Consider the following 19,208-nt stretch of genomic DNA (forward strand, 5'->3'; position numbering starts at 1 on the left):
CACCACTGACCACCCAGTACTAGAGGGCTGAACATTCTGCATTCCTTTCTCTGAATTAACCTTGTCTTCAGTTCTGATATATCTGCTCTGCTATATTTCTATTTATCTGTATCTGTCTCCTACATGAAAGTATATAGTATATTCTTGGGGTACAGTGCACTTGTGGAATGAGCTTTGGAGTTCAACAGAATTGGGGTTTGTATCACAGACTTACCTCCTATTAGTTTTATGATATTAGGAAAAATACTTCCAGCTCCTCATTTGTAATTTTTAATTTTTTTTTGACAGGGTCTCTGTCACCCAGTCTGGAGTGCAGTAGTGTGATCTTGGCTCACTGCAACCTCCATCTCCCGGGTTCAAGAGATTCTCCTGCCTCAGCCTCCCCAGTAGCTGGGATTTCAGGTGTGCACTACCATGCCTGGCTAATTTTTGTATTTTTAGTAGAGACGGGGTTTCACCATTTTGGCCAGGCTGGTCTCGAACTCCTGACCTCAAAAGATCTGCTCGCTTAGGCCTCCCAAAGTGCAGGGATTACAGGGGTGAGCCACCACGCCCGGCCCCTCATTTGTAATTTGTCCACCCACCACCCCTACCTTTTATATAGCTGCTGTGAGGACTAAAGATAATGTATGTGAGTACACAATATGCATGAGCAGGTGGTTAGTGTTCACCAAATATCTATTAAAGGTAACAAAACCGCCCCACCAAGAACCACATTCATGACTCCCCCTACGGTTCCAGTTTTGGAAAAGTTCTGTCTACCAGGCCACATGTATTAAGCCAATATACGTTGATTTCCTCATCTTTTATTAACCAAAGACACAATATAATCTTCAATCGGAGCTTCTAATGAGCTTGAGATAACCAGTCCATGCTGAGTTGTTAGAATTTCAGACAAAAATTAAGAAACATGATATGTTGTTTCAGGGTGTTTGTTACAGCCTCTTCCTGAGTAAATCTGTCAAGCTTTACGAAATAAATAGTTCCAGAACTAAGTAAATTGTTCCGTCATAAACTTCAGAAGCCCTGGGGTGAGAACGGCAGAACGGCACTGAGCCCTCCCAGGCCTCGTCCCTGTCTCTTCTTTCTCCTACGCATTCCCTGGTCTCTCCTCTGGCCTCTGGGTTGCTCTGAATATTCATAGCTAACATACAGGAGCCCGTAACAAGTTGCCAGGCCCTTAGTAGGTGTGCAGAGTTTCTGTGAAGTACAGTTATTATTGGAAACAAGTTAATTTCCTTCCTCTTAGTCATTGGCAACTTTGAATTTAAGTGGTTTCCAAGGTAGGGTACACAGAACTATTTCCTAAGATGTAAGAAAACATTTTAACTCATCTATTTCAAATTTCTGTTTAGTATGTTTTTTAACATATGTAATACACGAGTGCTTGGAATATGTGTATGAAAATGCACTGCTGTACCAATCCAGCATGTACCGGAGCAGGGTAGGGTCACATTGAGAGTATGGCTCTGGAGCCAGATTGCCTACATTTGAAATCCGGTTCCATTACTTGCCAGCTCAGTGACTTTGGGTAAATTACTTTGCCCTTTGCACCTCCGTTTCTACACCTTTATAAAGGAAAATTAAAAAAAAAAAAAAAAAAGAAAGAAAAGAGTGCCTACTAATTTCTGGGTTGCTCTGAGGATGAAAGAAATTAAAATTAAAATAAGTAACATGTTGAGAACTGTGTGTGGCAGCCAGTAAATACCTATAATAAATGTTAGATGTTGCTATGCATAAATATGTACATGTAAAGTGAGGACTAGCTGTCTTCATGTTTTCTTTTTTATAAAACAGTGTATGATCACGAAAGTATGGCAAATCCTGTTTCATTCCACAAACATTTCCTAAACACTCAGTGATTGGGCTAGAAGGTGAGGGAGATACAATTAGGAAGCACAGCTGCAAGGGAGCTGGAAGGAGGGGAGGGAGAGTGCACAAGGAGGTCTCAGCAGGGCAGAGGTAGGACCTGTCAGAACAGAACCACAGCCCAGTGCAAGGAGCTGGGGGGCTCATTTCAACTGGAGGAACTGAGAAACGCTTCACTGAGCCTTGGAGGATTTCAATGAGAAAAGATAGGAGCATTAGTATCTGCGGCAGAGGGAGGATACTCTGGCCTAAAGCCTTCATCCTTCACCTGGTCTTCAGCAATCTGTCTCCCCACCTGTCCCCTTACCTCCCAAGTCTCATTGTTACCATTAGCTTCTCCTTACCAAGTCCACTGAGACTTGCTGAGACACGCTGGCCTGCTCTCATTTCCATGGACTCAGTGCTCTCTCTTTTGCCAAGTTTGCAGAGCTCTAGGGCACTTTTTGCATTAAATCTATCTGAACGGCAACCCATGGAGCACAACCACAAAAGTTTTGCCTCTGAGCTTTTGCACAAGCTTGTTCCTCCTCCCTGGGGCACTTCCTTTCCTCTTCCTTCCTCCTCACAACTACCACCCTATATGTCTCTTAGCTTCCACTCATCCTTAGGGTTTAATTTCATGACCTCCTCCCTCAAGAAGCTTTCCTGATGCTTCAAGCCTGCATTTGGCACCCCCTCTAGGTGCTCCCACAACTCCCTGGACTCTCCCTCTTGCAACATTTCTCTCCCTGCAGTATTTACTTGTCTGTGTCCACCCACTAGCTTGCCTTGCCATTACCATATGTGCCTAGTGCAGTGTCTTGCACATAGAACGCAGTAGTAAATATTTGTTAGGTGAATAAAGGATAGAAGGAAGGTAGGAAGGAAGGAGAGTACCTTGATTATGGCACAAAAGTCTATCTCAAGAGAGCAGTGAGAAATAAGACAGGAATGAGAACACTAGAAAAAGGAAATCAGACCTTAATTGGGGAGTCATGGAAATTTTTAAAGCAGGAAAGTGACAAGACCGGGGCTGTACTGTAGAAGGATCTGCTCTTTAAACATAAGGCTCCTGCTCAGTCACCTAGATCTCCTTTCTAATTGGCTCAGCTCGGGCAGGATGGTGAAAATCCAGATGATCTGAGCCTGCTTTTTGGGTGGGGCTCAGATGTATGTTCACGTGGGCAAATAAGGATGCCTGATTCCATGGGACTGGGGTGTAGGTGTGCCTTCCCACATGTCCTGGTTATCAGCTGAAGGGAACCTGGCATTGCAGATGCTTCTACTGTGTTTGTAGTAAAAAAGAGTGGGATGACTGAAATGAAACTCCTCACACCCGACTCCAACAACCAAGAGGACCAGTGAAGGTGGAGGGGAACCATCCAGGTTTCTAGAGAGGCAGTCTCAATGAGCCCAGCTCTGGCTTATAGGAGATGAAGATGGAGAAAGAAGGAAACAAAGTGAGTGATACAGTTTGGATACCTGTCCCCTCCAAATCTCATGTTGGAATGTGATCCGCAGTGTTGGAGGTGGCACCTGGTGGGAAGTGTTGGATCACATGGGTGGATCTTTATGAATGACGTGGTGCCCTCCCCCTGGAAATGAATCAGTTCTTGCTCTGTTAGTTCACTTGAGATCTGGTTGTTAAAGAGTCTGGGACCTCTCTCCTCTCTCTGGCTCTCTATACTCATGCTCTCTGTCTTGCCAGGTGACACACATGCTCTCCCTTTGCCTTCTGCGATAAGTAAAAGCTTCCTGGGGCCTCACCAGAAGCAGAGCAGTTGCTGGTGCTGTGCTTGTATAGCCTGTAGCACCATGAGCCAAATAAACCTATTTTCTTTTGTTTGAGATGGGGTCTTACTCTGTCACCCAGGCTGGAGTGTCATGGAACAATCTTGGCTCACTGCAACTTCCATCTCCTAGGCTCAAGCGATCCTCCCACCTTGGCCACCTGAGTAGCTGGGAGCACAGGTGTGTGCCACCATGCCTAGCTAATTTTTTGTATTTTGGGGACAGACGAGGTTTCGCCAGGTTGCCCAGACTGCTATTTTCTTTATAAAGAAACTCAGCCTCAGGAGTTCTTTTATAGCAATGCAAAATGGGCTAACACAGTTAGGGAGTGCAGACACCTGTATGGTGGAGATTGGCAGAGGGGTGGGGCATTTACAGAGCCTCTCCTGGAGGCCAGGAACGGGCCCAGATTCTTCACAAGATTTTTTCCTTAAAACATTCTCACTAGGAAAATTCATCTCCATTTTTCAGGTGAAGAAACAGAGGCTTAGAGAAGTGAAGTAAATTGTCTATGGTCGTAAGGCCCAGATGACAACCCATAACTTCAATGCTGTTTCCAAGTGGTGGTGAGAGTGAAATTCATCAGCTCTGGTTTGGATTTTCCACCAGGCATAGGGAAAGGGAGAGGCCTGTCTATCAGGGAAACACAGCTAAAGCAGAAAGACCATGAACTTCCTATTGGGCAAACCAAGGATCAAAGCCCAATGTCGCTGCTGGCTGTGTGACCTTTGATAAGTCACTTTACTTCTCTTAGTGTTAATTTTCTCCTTAGAAAAAAAGGAGTAATGATACCCACTGAAAACAGTTGCTGAAGGACTGGTGATCTTATGCTCACCACAAGCCCAGCAGTCTGCTTGCTCACTGTAAAGGCTCAGCCAATATTGATTTCGTCTGCCATCTCTCCAGCTGTAGGTCTGTCATAGAGAGAACATGGTGGTTTTGGGAAAGAAGCAATGACAGATTTGCAAGCCTGCCAATTACACTTTTATCAATGTGTTATTTGGTGATATCAAAAAAAGGGGCAATGTGTTAGGGAAACTGTCCTAATACATAAAGAGAACATAGGACAAGGGAATCCTAAGATCTGCAGAAACAATTTCTGTTACTCACATCCTTGTGTGAATCGGTGATGGTAACTTTCTCTTGCATTTGAAATCTAACCTATAAATAGAGCAAGCTAGTTGTCCAAGAAGAACATTCAACCATTCTGGATTCTTAGTGTATCTTTGGAATATACCACGAGACTAAAATTATGAGGGCTAGCTGATGAACAAGTTTATTACTCTGTCAAAAAGAAAGACCATTAACAAAATATACTTTTTAACACTTTGCTCAGCAGTCCTGAGAAATCCATCTAAATGCCCAAATGGAATCTTATTGGTCTATGATAAAACCCCATCTAGTCTATGGTAGGAAAATTCATGTGAGCTTACACAATGGAAAAGTGTGAGTCCTCAACAGTAACATGAGCACTAGCTGTGGGCTGCAGGGAAGGCACTTTTTTCCCTGGTAATTCCCTGGATTATCGGAAGAGCTTCCTAATAACCTTTTAACTGGCAGCCCTGTAATTTAGAGGCTTGTATGTAAAACACTTAGCCCAACACACAGCCATTACTCAATAAATGACACCTAGAAAGAAAATAAAACAAAATCCTTAGACCTAAGCAGGTACCTCATCTCAGTGGCACACTGCCCTGATGGATTCAACCTTTCCAGAAACATTTTAGTTTCTTCACTTAAAACCAAATGCATTCTTTTTCTTCTCATGTGCTAGCCATAGGGCATTCAGTTGCTTCACTGAATAAGTGAAATTATACTCAGTTCTGAGCAGAGGATGGGGCACTGAAGAAAACTGAAGTTTCCTTCTGATAGAAAGGTCTGCGGCTCGTGGAGGGTCAGGAATTCTAATGCAGTGGTATCATGCCCTGCTTTTTATTCCAGTGAGTTATGTTCTTGTCTACTGCTTGAATAGACTATCCTGCCAAAGAGGGACCACGTATTGCTCACCTATGTGTTCTGGTCTTACTCAGAGTCTCAGCTCAGCAAAGAGAGGCAGAGCTGGTTTCCCTAGTTATTTGAAATGGATTGGAATCCACTTTTGAAAGCATTTCAAAGAGCTGGAAATCTGAAAATCTAGAGTGACTATTCGTTCGGGTTTGTCAGTGACAGCCCCGATTTACATCTGTTATCCTGCATGGATTAATAATAGTTTCCCCTTACTGTAAAAATGTATTGATTTGGTCAATTAATTACATGGCCACCCTCTTTTAGGGCAGTAAAGTACATATTCAGTTCCACATCAGAGGATGCAGTCTGTAGCAATGGAATAGTGGTCCAGATAGCTGGGTGCAGGTCAACAAAGCAGTCCAAGATCGTGGGCAAAGCAGTCCAAGATCCTTTCCTCTCTGTTGGATGGATATTCTCTAAGGTTCCTTTATGGTCCAACAAAAGACAGCAGTAGCTGTAGTCTACACCTCAAGAGGTTGCTCTGAGGGTTAAAGGAGACTATGGAAAAAATGTAGGATATAAATGACTTAATTTACAATGGAGAGTCAGATTCCTCCAACATAGCAGATACTTAAAAATAGTTATGGAACAAATAAATTTGTATAAATGTACAGGAAAAAAGATTGGTTAAAAATAAACAAAAACCACATTAACAACGGTTATCACTGTTATGGGCAATAGAAAATTTTTAATATGCTTTTATATCTTCAAAATTTTCTATAATTAGCATATATAGTTCTTTTTATTTTATTTATTTATTTAAAAAATTTATTTTAGAGCTGAGATCTCTCTGTGTTGCCCAGGCTAGAATGTAGTGGCTATTCACAGGCACAATCACAGGGTACTGTGGCCTTGAACTCCCGGGTTGAGGTGATCCTCCCGACTCAGCCTCCCGAGTAGTCGGGATCATAGGTGTGAGCCAAGTTCTTTTTACACTTTTAAAGATTTTTTTAAAAACCTCATGAGAAAATGAAATAATAAATGTGAAAATATCTGGCATCTAGTAGGTATTCATAGATGTTGATTTTTAAATAAGATTTTTGTTTGTTTGTTTGTTTTGTTTTTACAGACGGAGTCTTGCTCTGTCACCCAGGCTGGAGTGCAGTGGCGCAATCTCGGCTCACTGCAACCTCTGCCTCCCAGGTTCAAGTGTTTCTCCTGCCTCAGTCTCCCAAGTAGCTGGGACTATAGGCACGCGCCACCATGCCTAGCTAATTTTTGTATTTTTAGTAGAGATGGGGTTTCACCATGTTGGCCAGGATAGTCTCAATCTCTTGACCTTATGATCCACCCACCTCGGCCTCCCAAAGTGCTGGGATTACAGGCATGAGCCACTGCACCTGGCCCCTTAAATAAGATTTTTTATACATTAATATTAGTAGTATAATTTAGTATAAACTGATTTTTAAAATGTGAAAGCTTTTCAATTGAGCAATTCCACTTTTAGGAATTTATCCCTAAAAGTATGATGTCTCAGAAGATTTACACTAAGGATATTTATCACAACATCATTTGTAATAGTAAAAAGTAAAACATTAAAAAAAATGTTAAAAAGGAAAAACATCCTAAATGTTAAAAATTAAATGCTTCCTTGTGTAATGAAGGGATAATGCTGATATCACACAGATATTGTAAGATAAGTTTATAAAGAATATTAAGTGACGTGGGAAATAGGATATAAAAAGAGCATGATGCAAAACTGCGTAAAAAGTAATTCTGACTTTTGTTGAATTACGTATGGGTGCAATCTGTATAAAAATGTTAAGACCAGTAATCTTAGGGCAGTAAATTAGAAATAATTGTTTTCCTGATTTTTTAAAATATATTCTAATTTTTTCAAGTAACACATTGTGAATATGAGATTTTTTAAAAAAACAATAAATGTTATTTTTAACAGAATTAGACACACATACAGAAAAGTCAGCCATGATGACAGTTTCTTCCTTGGGTCCCTAATGGGAGGAGCTCAGCAGACCCACAGCCTCCCAGGTCTTTTCCAGCCTATTAAATCTTGTGGGTCTTACTCCCCTGGTCCGGCAGCTCCCACTAAGTCAACTCTCCTCGACAATGGTTATTTTCAGGAGCGGGTCCCAGGCCATTTGTCTCTGTGAGTTATGTTGGAAAAATGGTCTTTAAAAAACAGGACGCAGTAAATTTCTCAGGCTCGTCATTTGATCTCTAGCTTTCCTCCTCACAGGTTTCTCGGGGACTTTAAAAAAATTTTTTTAAAAAGTGTTTGTCAGGAACAGACCTCTGTTTCACCCGCCTGCCTGGGAAGCTGGTCTCCTGAATATCAAGAAGAGAGCCCTTTAGGTTCCTCTGGTTTTCACACAGGGATGGCCTGCCAGCTAGTCTGCTTGTTTGACACAGGTATATTTGATGAGGACTTTCACTGAGTTTTTAAAAATATCAGCTTTATTGATGCATAATTCACACACCATACAGGCCACTCAACTAAAGTGTTCAATCCAATGGGTTTTAGTATATTCACAGAGTATTGCAACCATCACCACAATCCATTTTAGAACATTTCATCACCCTAAAGAGAAACTCCACACTCATTAGCAGTCACTCCCTATTGTCCTCCAATTCCCTGCAGCCTAGGCAATCACTCATCTACTTTCTGTCTCTATGGATTTGCCTATTCTGAGCATTTCATAAAAATGGGATCATATAATATGTGCTCTTTTGTGACTTCTTGCACTTAGCAAAATATTTTCTCAAGGGTTCATCCAAATTGAAGCAACGATTAGGATTTCATTTCATTTCACTGACAAATAACATTGCATTGTATGGATATGCCACATTTTGTTATCCATTATGAAACTTGGGTTGATTCAAACTTTGGTTGTTTTCACTTTTTGGCTATTATCCATAATGCTGCTGCAAACCTTTGTGTATACATTTCTGTGTGAGAGTATGTTTTTACCTCTTTTGGGTATACACCTAGGAGTGGAATTGCTGAATTGTATGCTTAACCTTTTAAGGAACTGCCAGATTGTCTTCCAAAGTGGCTATGTCATTTTAAATGCCCACTGGCAGTGTATGAGGGTGCCAATTTCTCCACATCCTTGTCAACACTTGTTATTATCTGACTTTTTTATTCCAGCCACTATAGTGGGTATGAAGCAGTATCTCACTGTGGTTTGATCTGCATTTCCCCTAATGGCAAATGATGCTTGGCATATTTTCATGTCCTTATTTGCCATTTGTACATCTTCTTTGGAGAAATGTCTATTCAGATCCATTGCCCAATTTTTAACTTGATTTATCTTTTTATTACTAAAGTGTAAGTACTGCTTTTTTTCCCCAAGAATTTGTTTTGTGCTTACTCTGTCAGGCAGTGTTCTAGGCATCACTGACAAAGAAGACAAAGCCCTTGCTCTCAGAAGCTTACATTCTAGTGAAAGAAAACATCAATGAACAAGTAAGCAAATAACTATATAGAACAAGATCAAGTATGATAAATATTAGGCTGGTGCAAAAGTAATTGTGGTTTTTGCCATTAAATATAATGGCAAAAACCATAATTACTTTTGCACCAACTTAATACAAAGTTGATGGCATGGGCGTGTTATTTTAAATAGCATGGTCAGGGAAGCCCTCCCTGAGGAGGTGACATTTAAGCAGAGATTTGAAGTAAGTGAGGGAGTGAGCCAAGCAGACACCCAGGGGAAGAGCTTTTAGGCAGAGGGCCCCACAACTGCAAAGTCCCTGCAGCAGGACCAAGTTCATCTAAGGGACAGCAAGGAAGCTAACAGGACTAGAGAAGCATAACAATGAGGTAAATGCTAGGAAATCAGCCTTGAGACATTGTCAGGGGCCAGGTTAAAGATGTGCAAATACTGCAAACTAAAGGTCAGGATGCCTGGGTGTTCTTGTTGGCAAGTTCCCTGAGGGTGGGGACTGGTTTATTCATATGGCCACAGGCCACATGGTAATTCCACATATAGTGGGTACTCACTACATATTACAACCGATTTTGACCTAATGACCTCCTAATAAAAACAACATTTACATGTGAGTAGTATTTATTCTACATTTTACACAGGATTTTCACAGCCATGATCTCATGTGATCCTTACCACATCCAGGAGGGTAATAGCCATCACCCTCATTTTATAGATAAAGAAACTGAGGCTAGGAGAGGTGATATGACTTGTGCAGGGACACACAACTTTTAAGGGGCCAAGTGGGGCTCCAACCCAGGAGACAGGCAGCAAGTAAGATCTGGATTTAAAACTGATTATTTTGATTTTAGGCAAATTGTTTGATCTTTTAGAGCTGGGGAGCCTCAGGATGTGGTCCTACCTTACAGGAGTCCTGTGCAGAGTAAATGCATAAAAGCATGCATGTCTGGGGCCTACCATGGGCCTGACATAGAGCAGGTACTCAAAAAGTGGAAGTGGTAGCTCTCCCACACCTCCCTTTCTTTCTTTTTCTTTTCTTTCTGTTTTTCTTTTCTTTTCTTTTTTTTTTTTTTTGAGACAGAGTCCCAGACTGGAGGGCAGTGACGTGAGCGCCTGGGCTCAAGTGATTCCTGTGCCTCAGCCACCCAAGTAGCTGGGATTATAGGCATGCCACCATGCCTGGCTAATTTTTATATTTTTAGTAGAGACTGGGTTTTGCCATTTTGGCCAGGCTAGTCTCGAACTCCTGACCTTATATAATCTGCCCACCTTGGCTTCCCAAAGTGCTGGGATTACAGTGGTGAGCAACCACGCCTGGCCTGCACCTCCCTTTCATCACCAGCCCCAGCTACACATCCAGGCAACCTCTCTGTGTGAAGCCCTAAGTGGGCACTAGAGACATAGAACTAAGTCTACTCCTTGCCCTGGAGAGGCATGCAGCCTCATGGGTGAAGGAGACAAGCAGGAATGGCTCAAGAGGGAGAAAAGCTGTGAGGGAGGTATTGGGGTATGGGGGTAGGGTGGGTGGGGCGACAACTGGAAGACTCACTGAGCTCCATGTGTCAGCTGCAGCTCCTGGTGTCTCACAGATTGTTCTAACCTTGCCCACGCGCTGCCTCCAGAGGGGTGTGAGATGGTTCATTCACACCTCTGGAGGCTGAAATTGGGCTGATGGAAAGGCCAGTTTCCATGGGATGTGGGAGAGAGGAAACGCACAAAGCAAGCTGGATTATCTCTGACTGTCAAAATCTGCTGGCCAACGTGACCAAGGAGTCACTGAAATTTATGGCAGACCTTGAATAATCTGTGGTCACAGAGTGCTCTCTTCAACAGGGAGGCTTGGGCTCTGCACTTTGGTACTGAGATTTGACTAAGAAAGTCCTTCCAAATAGCTGTTTTCAAGTCATTTATTACTTCCTTGGGATACACACACCCACACACACACACACACACATATATATATATATATGTTTTCCTCCCTCCATTCAATTTATACAGTGGCAAAATTCCAGGCCTCAAGATGGAGTAAGACCAGAATCTAATAGTCCAGCCTCCTACTCAGATACTGGAGGAATGATGGGGGTATTAGGTACAAAGGAAAGGGGCAAGAGATAGGAAGATTCTGAGGGAAACCAGCAACTGTGGGAGGGTGGGAGGGCAGGGATATTAATTGGGTACCTACTATGTGTCCAGCACTGTGGAAGGCCCTTGATGTAAATTATCTTAATCAACCCTCATGCCCCTTGAAAGTGTGAAGACTTCTCCAGCTGACAGATACAGACTTGGAGGCTCAAACAGAGGCGGCTTAAGGTCACCCAGCCGGTGGGTACCAGTCTGGGTGCTGAATCTTGGTCTGCTGAACCCTATGCCCACATGCTTCCGACTAAAATAACCTTAATAAATAATAGTAATAAACATAATAATGTACATTTGTAAATTTATGAGTTTACTTCCTTGATCTTTCATCAGCCCTGGGAAGAGGACAATAATGTTCAAAGTGAAGCCATTTGCTCAAAGCTACAGACCTAGTGAGGTGTGGATCTGGGCTTCCAGCCTAGGCCTCCTGAGCCTACAGCTAAAGCTCCTTCCATAGCATCTTAGAGTGACAGTCAGGGATTCGTGTAACCAATGAACCAGGCAAAAAACCAACCAGTGGGGAAGAAAACCCAAAGCATATAAAATAAAACCAGAGCTGTGTATTTATCATCTGTGGAGTTTCTGAATATCTGTTATATTTCAATAAAAAGTTTAAAAAAAAAACCAGAAAGCCATGTGGTGTGGATATAAGCATATACTAAGAGATATTTTTCTAAAACAGCTTTTCCCCAGTAAATGCCCTGATTCGAAACAGCTTTCCATGAACTTGATCACTGCGCCAAGGCCTCTTGCTTGCATTAGATTTCTATAAAGATTTGTGAAACTTTTTTGGGGAAAGCACAAACATAATGAGGACCAAGAGTTCTAGAAATTCCTCTACTGTCACTCCAAGAAATCTTGAAAATCGAGGAAGGCAGCTGGGGGAGAGTGGACATGTAGAGAAATGGCTTTCCAACCTTGCTCCTGAGTGACCAGGTCTGGTTCTTAAAGCAGGAACCCTTCAGGCAGCTTTAGGTCCAAATTGGAAGAAAAACAAACTTTTTTTTTGATCCTAAATTGCACTCTGTACAGAAAGGAACCTTTGAGATAAGTGAAGAGAAAGGAATAAGCATTTGCCAAATACCTTTTGTGTCTGGCACCGCACTAAGCACTTGCCACGTGCTTTCCAACATAGCTCCGTAACAGGAATCACTCTCGCACTCAGCAATATTACTTGACATTTAATATGCAACAGAAATTCATTGTCTCATGGTTCTGGAGGGCAGAAGTCTGAAATAATGATATGGACAAGGGCCATGCTCTCTCTGAACCCTGTAGGGGGATGCTTCTTTGCCTCTTCCTAGCGCTAGTGGGTTGCTGTCATCTCTGGCATTCCCTGGCTTGCAGCTGCATCACTCCAGTTTCTGCCTTTATCATCACATGTGTGCTCCCTGCGTGGCGCTGCCTTCTTCTGAGAACACCAGTCATAGTGGAGTAGGTTCCCACCCTCCTCTACTATGACCTCATCTCAATTAATTACATCTGCAACAACACTGTTTTCACATATGGTCACTGTCTGAGGTACTGGAGATTAGGACTTCAATATACCTTTCTGCAGGGCTGGGTGGTGGGTCAATAGTGCTCAACACATAACACTGTCCTTGTGGAACTTACACTATAAAAGTCCCCTTTTACAGATGAATACATTGAGGCACAGAGAGCCCAAGTGATTTGCTCAGGATCTACTGGCAGTAAACTGCAAATCCAGGTCTGACTCCAGAGCCCATTTTCTGTCTACTAGACTACCTTGTCTAGCCTACACAGGTTCTCCTCAGCAGGTGGTCATTTGTAGAAAAGGAGCTTTACTCATCATTACTGGTCATTAGAGAAATGCAAATCAAAACCACAATGAAATACCATCTCACGCCAGTTAGAATGGCGATCATTAAAAAGTCAGGAAACAACAGATGCTGGAGAGGATGTGGAGAAAGAGGAAGGCTTTTACACTGTTGGTGGAAGCGTAAATTAGTTCAACGATTGTGGAAGACAGAATGGTGATTCCTCAAGGATCTAGAACCAGAAATACCATTTGACCCAACAATTCCATTACTGGATATATACCCAAAGGATTATAAATCATTCTACTATAAAGACACATGCATACATATGTTTATTGCAGCACGGTTCACAATAGCAAAGACTTGGAGCCAACCCAAATGCTCATCAATGATAGACTGGATAAAGATAATGTGGCACATATACACCATGGAATACTATGCAGCCATGAAAAAGGATGAGTTCATGTCCTTCTCAGGGACATGGATGAAGCTGGAAATCGTCTTTCTCAGCAAACTAACACAGGAACAGAAAACCAAACACCCATATTCTCACTCATAAGTGGGGGTTGAACAATGAGAACACATGGACACAGGGAGGGGAAAAACATACACTGCAGCCTGTTGGCGGATGGGGGGCTAGGGGAGGGATAGCATTAGGAGAAATACCTAATGTAGATGACATGTTGATAAGTGCAGTAAACCACCATGGCACATGCATACCTATGTAACAAACCTGCACGTTCTACACATGTACCCCAGAACTTAAAGTAAGAAAAGAAAAGAAAAGAAAAGAAAAGAAAAGAAAAGAAAAGAAAAGAAAAGGAGCCTTAGCATAAATGATCCATTTAGTCCTTGCAACACTTTTACAAGGTAGGTATTATTGTTTCCATTTTACTGATGAAATGAGCTCCAGACAGACTAAAGTTAGTTGGTTCATAAGAGGAGAAGCAGGAATGAACCAAAGTGGGCAGGCTCTCTACCCATCCTTTTTTTTCCTGCAACCACACCAAACGGACTAATGGCATTGTCAAAGGGGAAGTGGACACCAGGACGGAACGAGAAATCAACTAATAAGAAGGCTGGTCACTCTGACCAAGGGCACTAGATTGGGAAAAAAAATTAGAGGTTTGAATGTTTTTGTTTCTTGTAACCAAAAAAGCTTATCTGGAGAGAAAAGAGTTCATACTTTGGAGGTTAAGGGTATTCACCATTCAAAGCTCAGAAGTTCAGATCTTGCCCTACTCTGGAGAGCAGAGTCTGACTGCTGCTAACAAAACAGGGTTTCTTGCTTTCTGGAGTGGAGGGCACTGAGTGAAGTTTGTGTACAAAGCTTCTCGGTGTTTCTTGGGCACATCGTGAGAAGCAGCATTCCTGTGACTTTAGTGCTGGTGCACATGGGCTGCATGTGCCTTGGATTTCATGGGATTGGGGAAATGACAGAAGAGAAAGGTGCCTGTAGGGTAAGAAATGCATTCAGAATGTTTCTGCAAGCCAAATTCTCAGTGTCCAGTGGTCTGTGAGGCTGGGAGGGGTGGCTGGTTCTGTGTGATTTGTCACAGGTCCCTGAGCTAGTTGGAGGAGGGCAGTGCCAGCCACTTGAGGAAGAAGGCCAAGCATCCCTCTGGGGTGTCCTGCCACTGAAATCCTGCCTGCTTAGTTCTCAGCCCTCCCAAGGGAGGGACTCCAACCAGCACCCCAATTTAGTCATAGAGGGGAAGTCGATTAGGTCCCTCACCTGCCTTTGGGAAGTTCCCAGTTTAGTGGCTGAGCAAACCCGGAATATGCAATTCCCCTACAATGCTGTGAGAGGCAAACACAAAGATCAAGGCCTTAATTGATGGAGCCTTGGGGCTCAGTGGCCCCTTGCTAGAGAAAGGGAAATTTAAACAGAAGCCTAAAGGTGAACCAGGAGTTGGCCAGGTTAAGAAAGCATTGTGGGCATGCATGTGTGCTGTGCATGCACATATGTGTTGTACATGCACATATGTGTTGTACATGCATGTGTGTCTACAGCAGTGGGCTGGTTAGAGTGTCCCAGGCAGAGAGAACAGCTTATGCCAAGGCTCACAGGGAGAGAAGAGCACGATACAGCTAGGGAACTCCAAGTACTAAGAGTTGAGTAAGTTGGGAGCAGAGATAGGGATGGTGGTAAACAAATGACTGAGGAGACAGGCCATGTTCACATCCTATAAAGGCTTCTGGTAGAATCCAGGGTCTGTCCCGACTCCCTGGGCTCTAGATCCATCATCAGTTATCAACTTGTCTGTACCACCTGAATTGAGTCACCAAACTTCTCTGGGTCTGAAATTTAGCTGAAAATTAGCATGGTTACATGAGTTCCCTTCTAAGCTCCCTTAGAGTTCCAATAATAAAACTAGCAAGACTGATTTGTGCTATTCCACTTAATCCTCATATTAAACTCTCTGAGTTACCATCACCCCCATTTAGTAGATGAGAGAAGATAAATTTAAAGAAGGTTAAGTGATTATATTCTGTAAGTCTATGATTTTCTGAAAGAAACTGCCCTCAAGCTTTCTGGCTGAATAACTGAGTCCTTTGCTGTCAGAAGAACTTTATTCACAGAAGAGGAAGATGACTTGCTAATAACAACAATGATAATAATTGTTGTTACTATTGATCGAGCACTTTCTCTTTGCCAGACATTGCATTCATGCTGTGTATAGACATGCATCCATTTTTAATTGTCACAGCAATCTTAAGAGGTAGGGACTTTCATTATCCCCGTTTCAGAGATAAGGAAAACAGTGGTCAATCAACATGGCCAATGTCACATAGCCACTGGTAAGGCGAGAGCCAGGAGGTGGCCCCAGGTGGATGATTCCACTCTGAACTCCTAATGACTTCTCTGTGAGGCTTAAAAGGAGCAAAGCTCTATAAGCTCAAGCTGTGGAACTGCACATGAGGAAGTTGAGGCCTGGAAGGTGACAGAATGAGCCCAAGGTCCTATAGGAAGGCAGCAGTGGAAATGGTTTTGTGCCATTAATATCAACAATAGTAACAGTAGCGAAGTCTGGCTTAGCAGGGTGGTCAGAACATGAACTCATGTCTGAGTCTGAATCCTCGCTCCACCACTTAGTAGCTGTACAACCGTGGGCAAAGTTTTAGTTTTCTGAGCCTCAGTTACTTTACTTATAGAAAAGGGATAATAGTACCTACCTCACAGGGTTGTACAGGGGCTTAAAGAGTTCTATGAGAGCTCTACTGAAGTGTTTGCTGTCATTGATTTGCTACCTGCTCTGTGCCAGGTATGGTGTTGATATACTTTATCTTTAATTCCCACAGAAACCTTTGGAAAGAGATTATTATTCCTGTTTTCTAGATGGAGAAATAAGCTTAGAGAAATTAAATAATGTATCTAAAGTTACATGGCATGAAAGGTGTAGAAGCTGGATTGGAACCTGTGACTGATTTCCAAATCTATGTTATATCCCACAATAATCTCTCCCCCATGTATACGGCTTTGCAGAGAGCACTGACATCCATAACCTCATTACTATGAAGTATCTGGCCTATTTTTAAATGCTGATGATTTTTATATCTCTATGACAGGTGTGTGTATGCGAGGAGGGGATGATGAACAAGAAAGCACACCACAAGCAGGATGGATGACTGCATTCAAGTGTCATCTATTATTCTATAACAGAAATATAATTATTCTATAAGGATAGTAACAACCCATCCCATGTGCAGAACACTCTATGATTCAGAAAATCCTTTTACACCCATTATCTCATTGCATCCCCACGACAGTCCTGTGGTGGGGGAAGTAGAGCTAATTATATTATCTTCCATTTGTAGCAGCCACTCTTGGTTGCATAGCAATACCTACTGCCCTCCTAACAGAATCCTGACTTTGCTCAGCTAGCCACACTGTGGTTATGTGTCTCAGTTGGAAGATCCTGACTGGCAAGTTACAAAAGTCCCCTTCCTCATGAGGGAATCTGGACCACCGGCCAATCTGATATGAGGAGAGGTCTGGGGGTTCCCTGGACGGGGAATCATCCGGACACAATGCCTGGGACTGTAGCAGTGGAAGCCAAGAAGCTGAATCTGAGCCTTGATGAACATGCCTGGAATTGCCCTATCTCTGGACTTCTTGCTAAATGAGATAATAAATGTTGAAGCTAACGATAATCATTGAAGCCGGTTTGAGTTGCGGTTTTGCATAAGGCATCTTAAGATCTCCTACCTCACTGTAGACAGAGTCTTCATAAAAACCCACTCCCACTGCTTTCGTTTCCACCCTTATTGTTGAGCCATGTCCTTTGCTAAGTAAGACTGTGCTGCTCTCATGGAGTTGCCAGCAACACCCAGCTCAGTTTTTTGGTTCCCTCTCCACCACCATGCACATCTCCTGCATGCCCCGTGTCTGTCCCCAGGTCAGGACTTGCCACAGGGTAGCCATAAAGGAATCACACCTGCAAGAAGCCTGATCAGTTTGGTTGCATAATGATTCTGAGGCTTTTGCTTCTTCAACCGATAAGTAGGATAATAATATCCGCTTTGCAGACTGCTTGTGGGGCAGGGAGAGGGTGGCATCCTCAGTCTCCCTCCAAGGAAATGCCACTTGCCTTAATCAGTAATAATCCTTGCATCTTCTGGTTGGCAAGTACCATGTGCCAGGCACTGGGACCCAGTGGTGAGTGAGCAGAGCCACCCCTGTTCTTGTGACACTCCTTGTCTAACAAGGCAGATACAATACATGCTTGGAGGCCTTGTCCCACATTAGCTCCAGGTCCACTCGCGGCTGTGGCCTCCTCTGAAAACCAGTAATCAGGAGTTGTCCTCTTCCTCAGGGATGAGGCCAGAGTCCATGGACTCACCCTGGGCTCCTGTTTCCTGTCTGCTTAAGTGATTGACAACTGGCTGACACCCTGGGCGCAAGTCTCAGAGGGTCCCCTGCAGTGAGTCCGGGAATCACAGCATCTCAAGTGGTCATGCTGGGCCCTGCCCCTCTGGCTCTCCTCACACCCCCAATAGGCCCTGTGGCCCAGGGATGCATTCACACTCACTGGAAAGTTGTTCCTCTTCTTGCTGCCAATTTTCCACCCAGCTGCAACATCCAACAATCCAGCCAGGCCTGTACTTATGCACATCCCTCAGAAGGGCTTATACAAAGCGCAACAGATGGCTCTCCACGTCAAAAATTATTTCCTGATGCCCAGCTGAGATGTCCCAGACCCTGCAGTGCCCATTAGTGCTAAATCCCTGTTTCTCCTGCCCTTTGGAAACTTGTTATTCTCTGAGATGCTCTGGCAAAGTCTCTGAGCTCAGCCTTTTTAAAGCAGCCCTGAGCATTGTCCTTGCTGGTCCCCTGCAAGGGTCTCCAGGGCAGCTCTCGCAGTTACTGACCACACAGTGGCCTGGGTCTGAGGAGTTAGCTCCCTGTGACCTTTCCCGAGGCACTTGGCACTTTCCTGGCCTCTGGCCTTTGCTTGACTATTTCTTTGACCTTCAATACCCTTGCCGGTATCTTTTCTTGAAGGCTCAGTTCAAATGCCACATTCATAGGAGGAGGAAAAATAATTCACACTTTTTGAGCACCTAGTGTATAAAATGTTCTCAAAATCTCACAGTCTATTCACATTTGTTAGTCATTCATGCATTCACTCACTCATTCAACAAGTATTTATAGAAAGCCATGCTTGTGTCAGGCCTTGGGTCAGGAACTGGTGATAGACCAGTGATGCTGCCCTCAGGAAACTTACCAAAGAGTGGGTTGCCCACTCTATGTCAAACACTCTTAGTGCCTTATTTTAAAACAAACCTGTTAGATATTTTAATATCTGTTTGCAGATGATGAAAACTACTGCTATTGTCACAAGTCAGCTAAACTGTGCCCTAGTCTGTGCTTTTGTTTGTCATCCATTCGACGACACATTCCTGATGCTCATGGTGTCCTGCCTTGGGCTCTAGGGACACAGATGCATGGGTCATGGCTCTATGGGGGTTCTGATGAAAAACCGACTGGCTTTTGCACAGTGTGGTACATACTGGAGACTAGCGGCTTCCTGAAGGCAGGGAGAGGCCTTGCCTGGCATGTGCCAAGCCTGGCAGTGGGGACACGCTGCCCCCAGGGCATGCCTACCAACTGTGGAGAGGAATCAGAAGACACGGCAGGGCCTGTCACCCTCCTCTAGAGGCCTTTGAGGCCAAGCCTCTCTCCTGAGTGCTGTCCTATCCTGTGGGGGTGGGGCTGGGTGGGCTCAGTGGGGTG

At 43.5% G+C, this 19,208-nt stretch overlaps 1 protein-coding gene across 9 annotated transcripts in view, besides 1 other annotated feature; it reads right to left on the bottom strand.

Moving 5' to 3' along the window:
• The window catches only part of TENM4 (teneurin transmembrane protein 4), a 788,202-nt gene that overhangs the window by 311,780 nt on the left and 457,214 nt on the right, over positions 1 to 19,208 (bottom strand). The window lies entirely within an intron of this gene.
• Positions 9,199 to 9,806: an enhancer, noted in NCBI's record as "OCT4-NANOG hESC enhancer chr11:78684852-78685459 (GRCh37/hg19 assembly coordinates)". NCBI's record gives its function as "activates a minimal SCP1, AML or CMV promoter by ChIP-STARR-seq in naive and primed H9 embryonic stem cells {active_cell/tissue: H9 hESC(naive and primed)}" and the evidence as "EXISTENCE:reporter gene assay evidence [ECO:0000049][PMID:30033119]".

This window comes from Homo sapiens, chromosome 11 (assembly GCF_000001405.40).
Source record: "Homo sapiens chromosome 11, GRCh38.p14 Primary Assembly".
Lineage (NCBI taxonomy): Eukaryota > Metazoa > Chordata > Mammalia > Primates > Hominidae > Homo > Homo sapiens.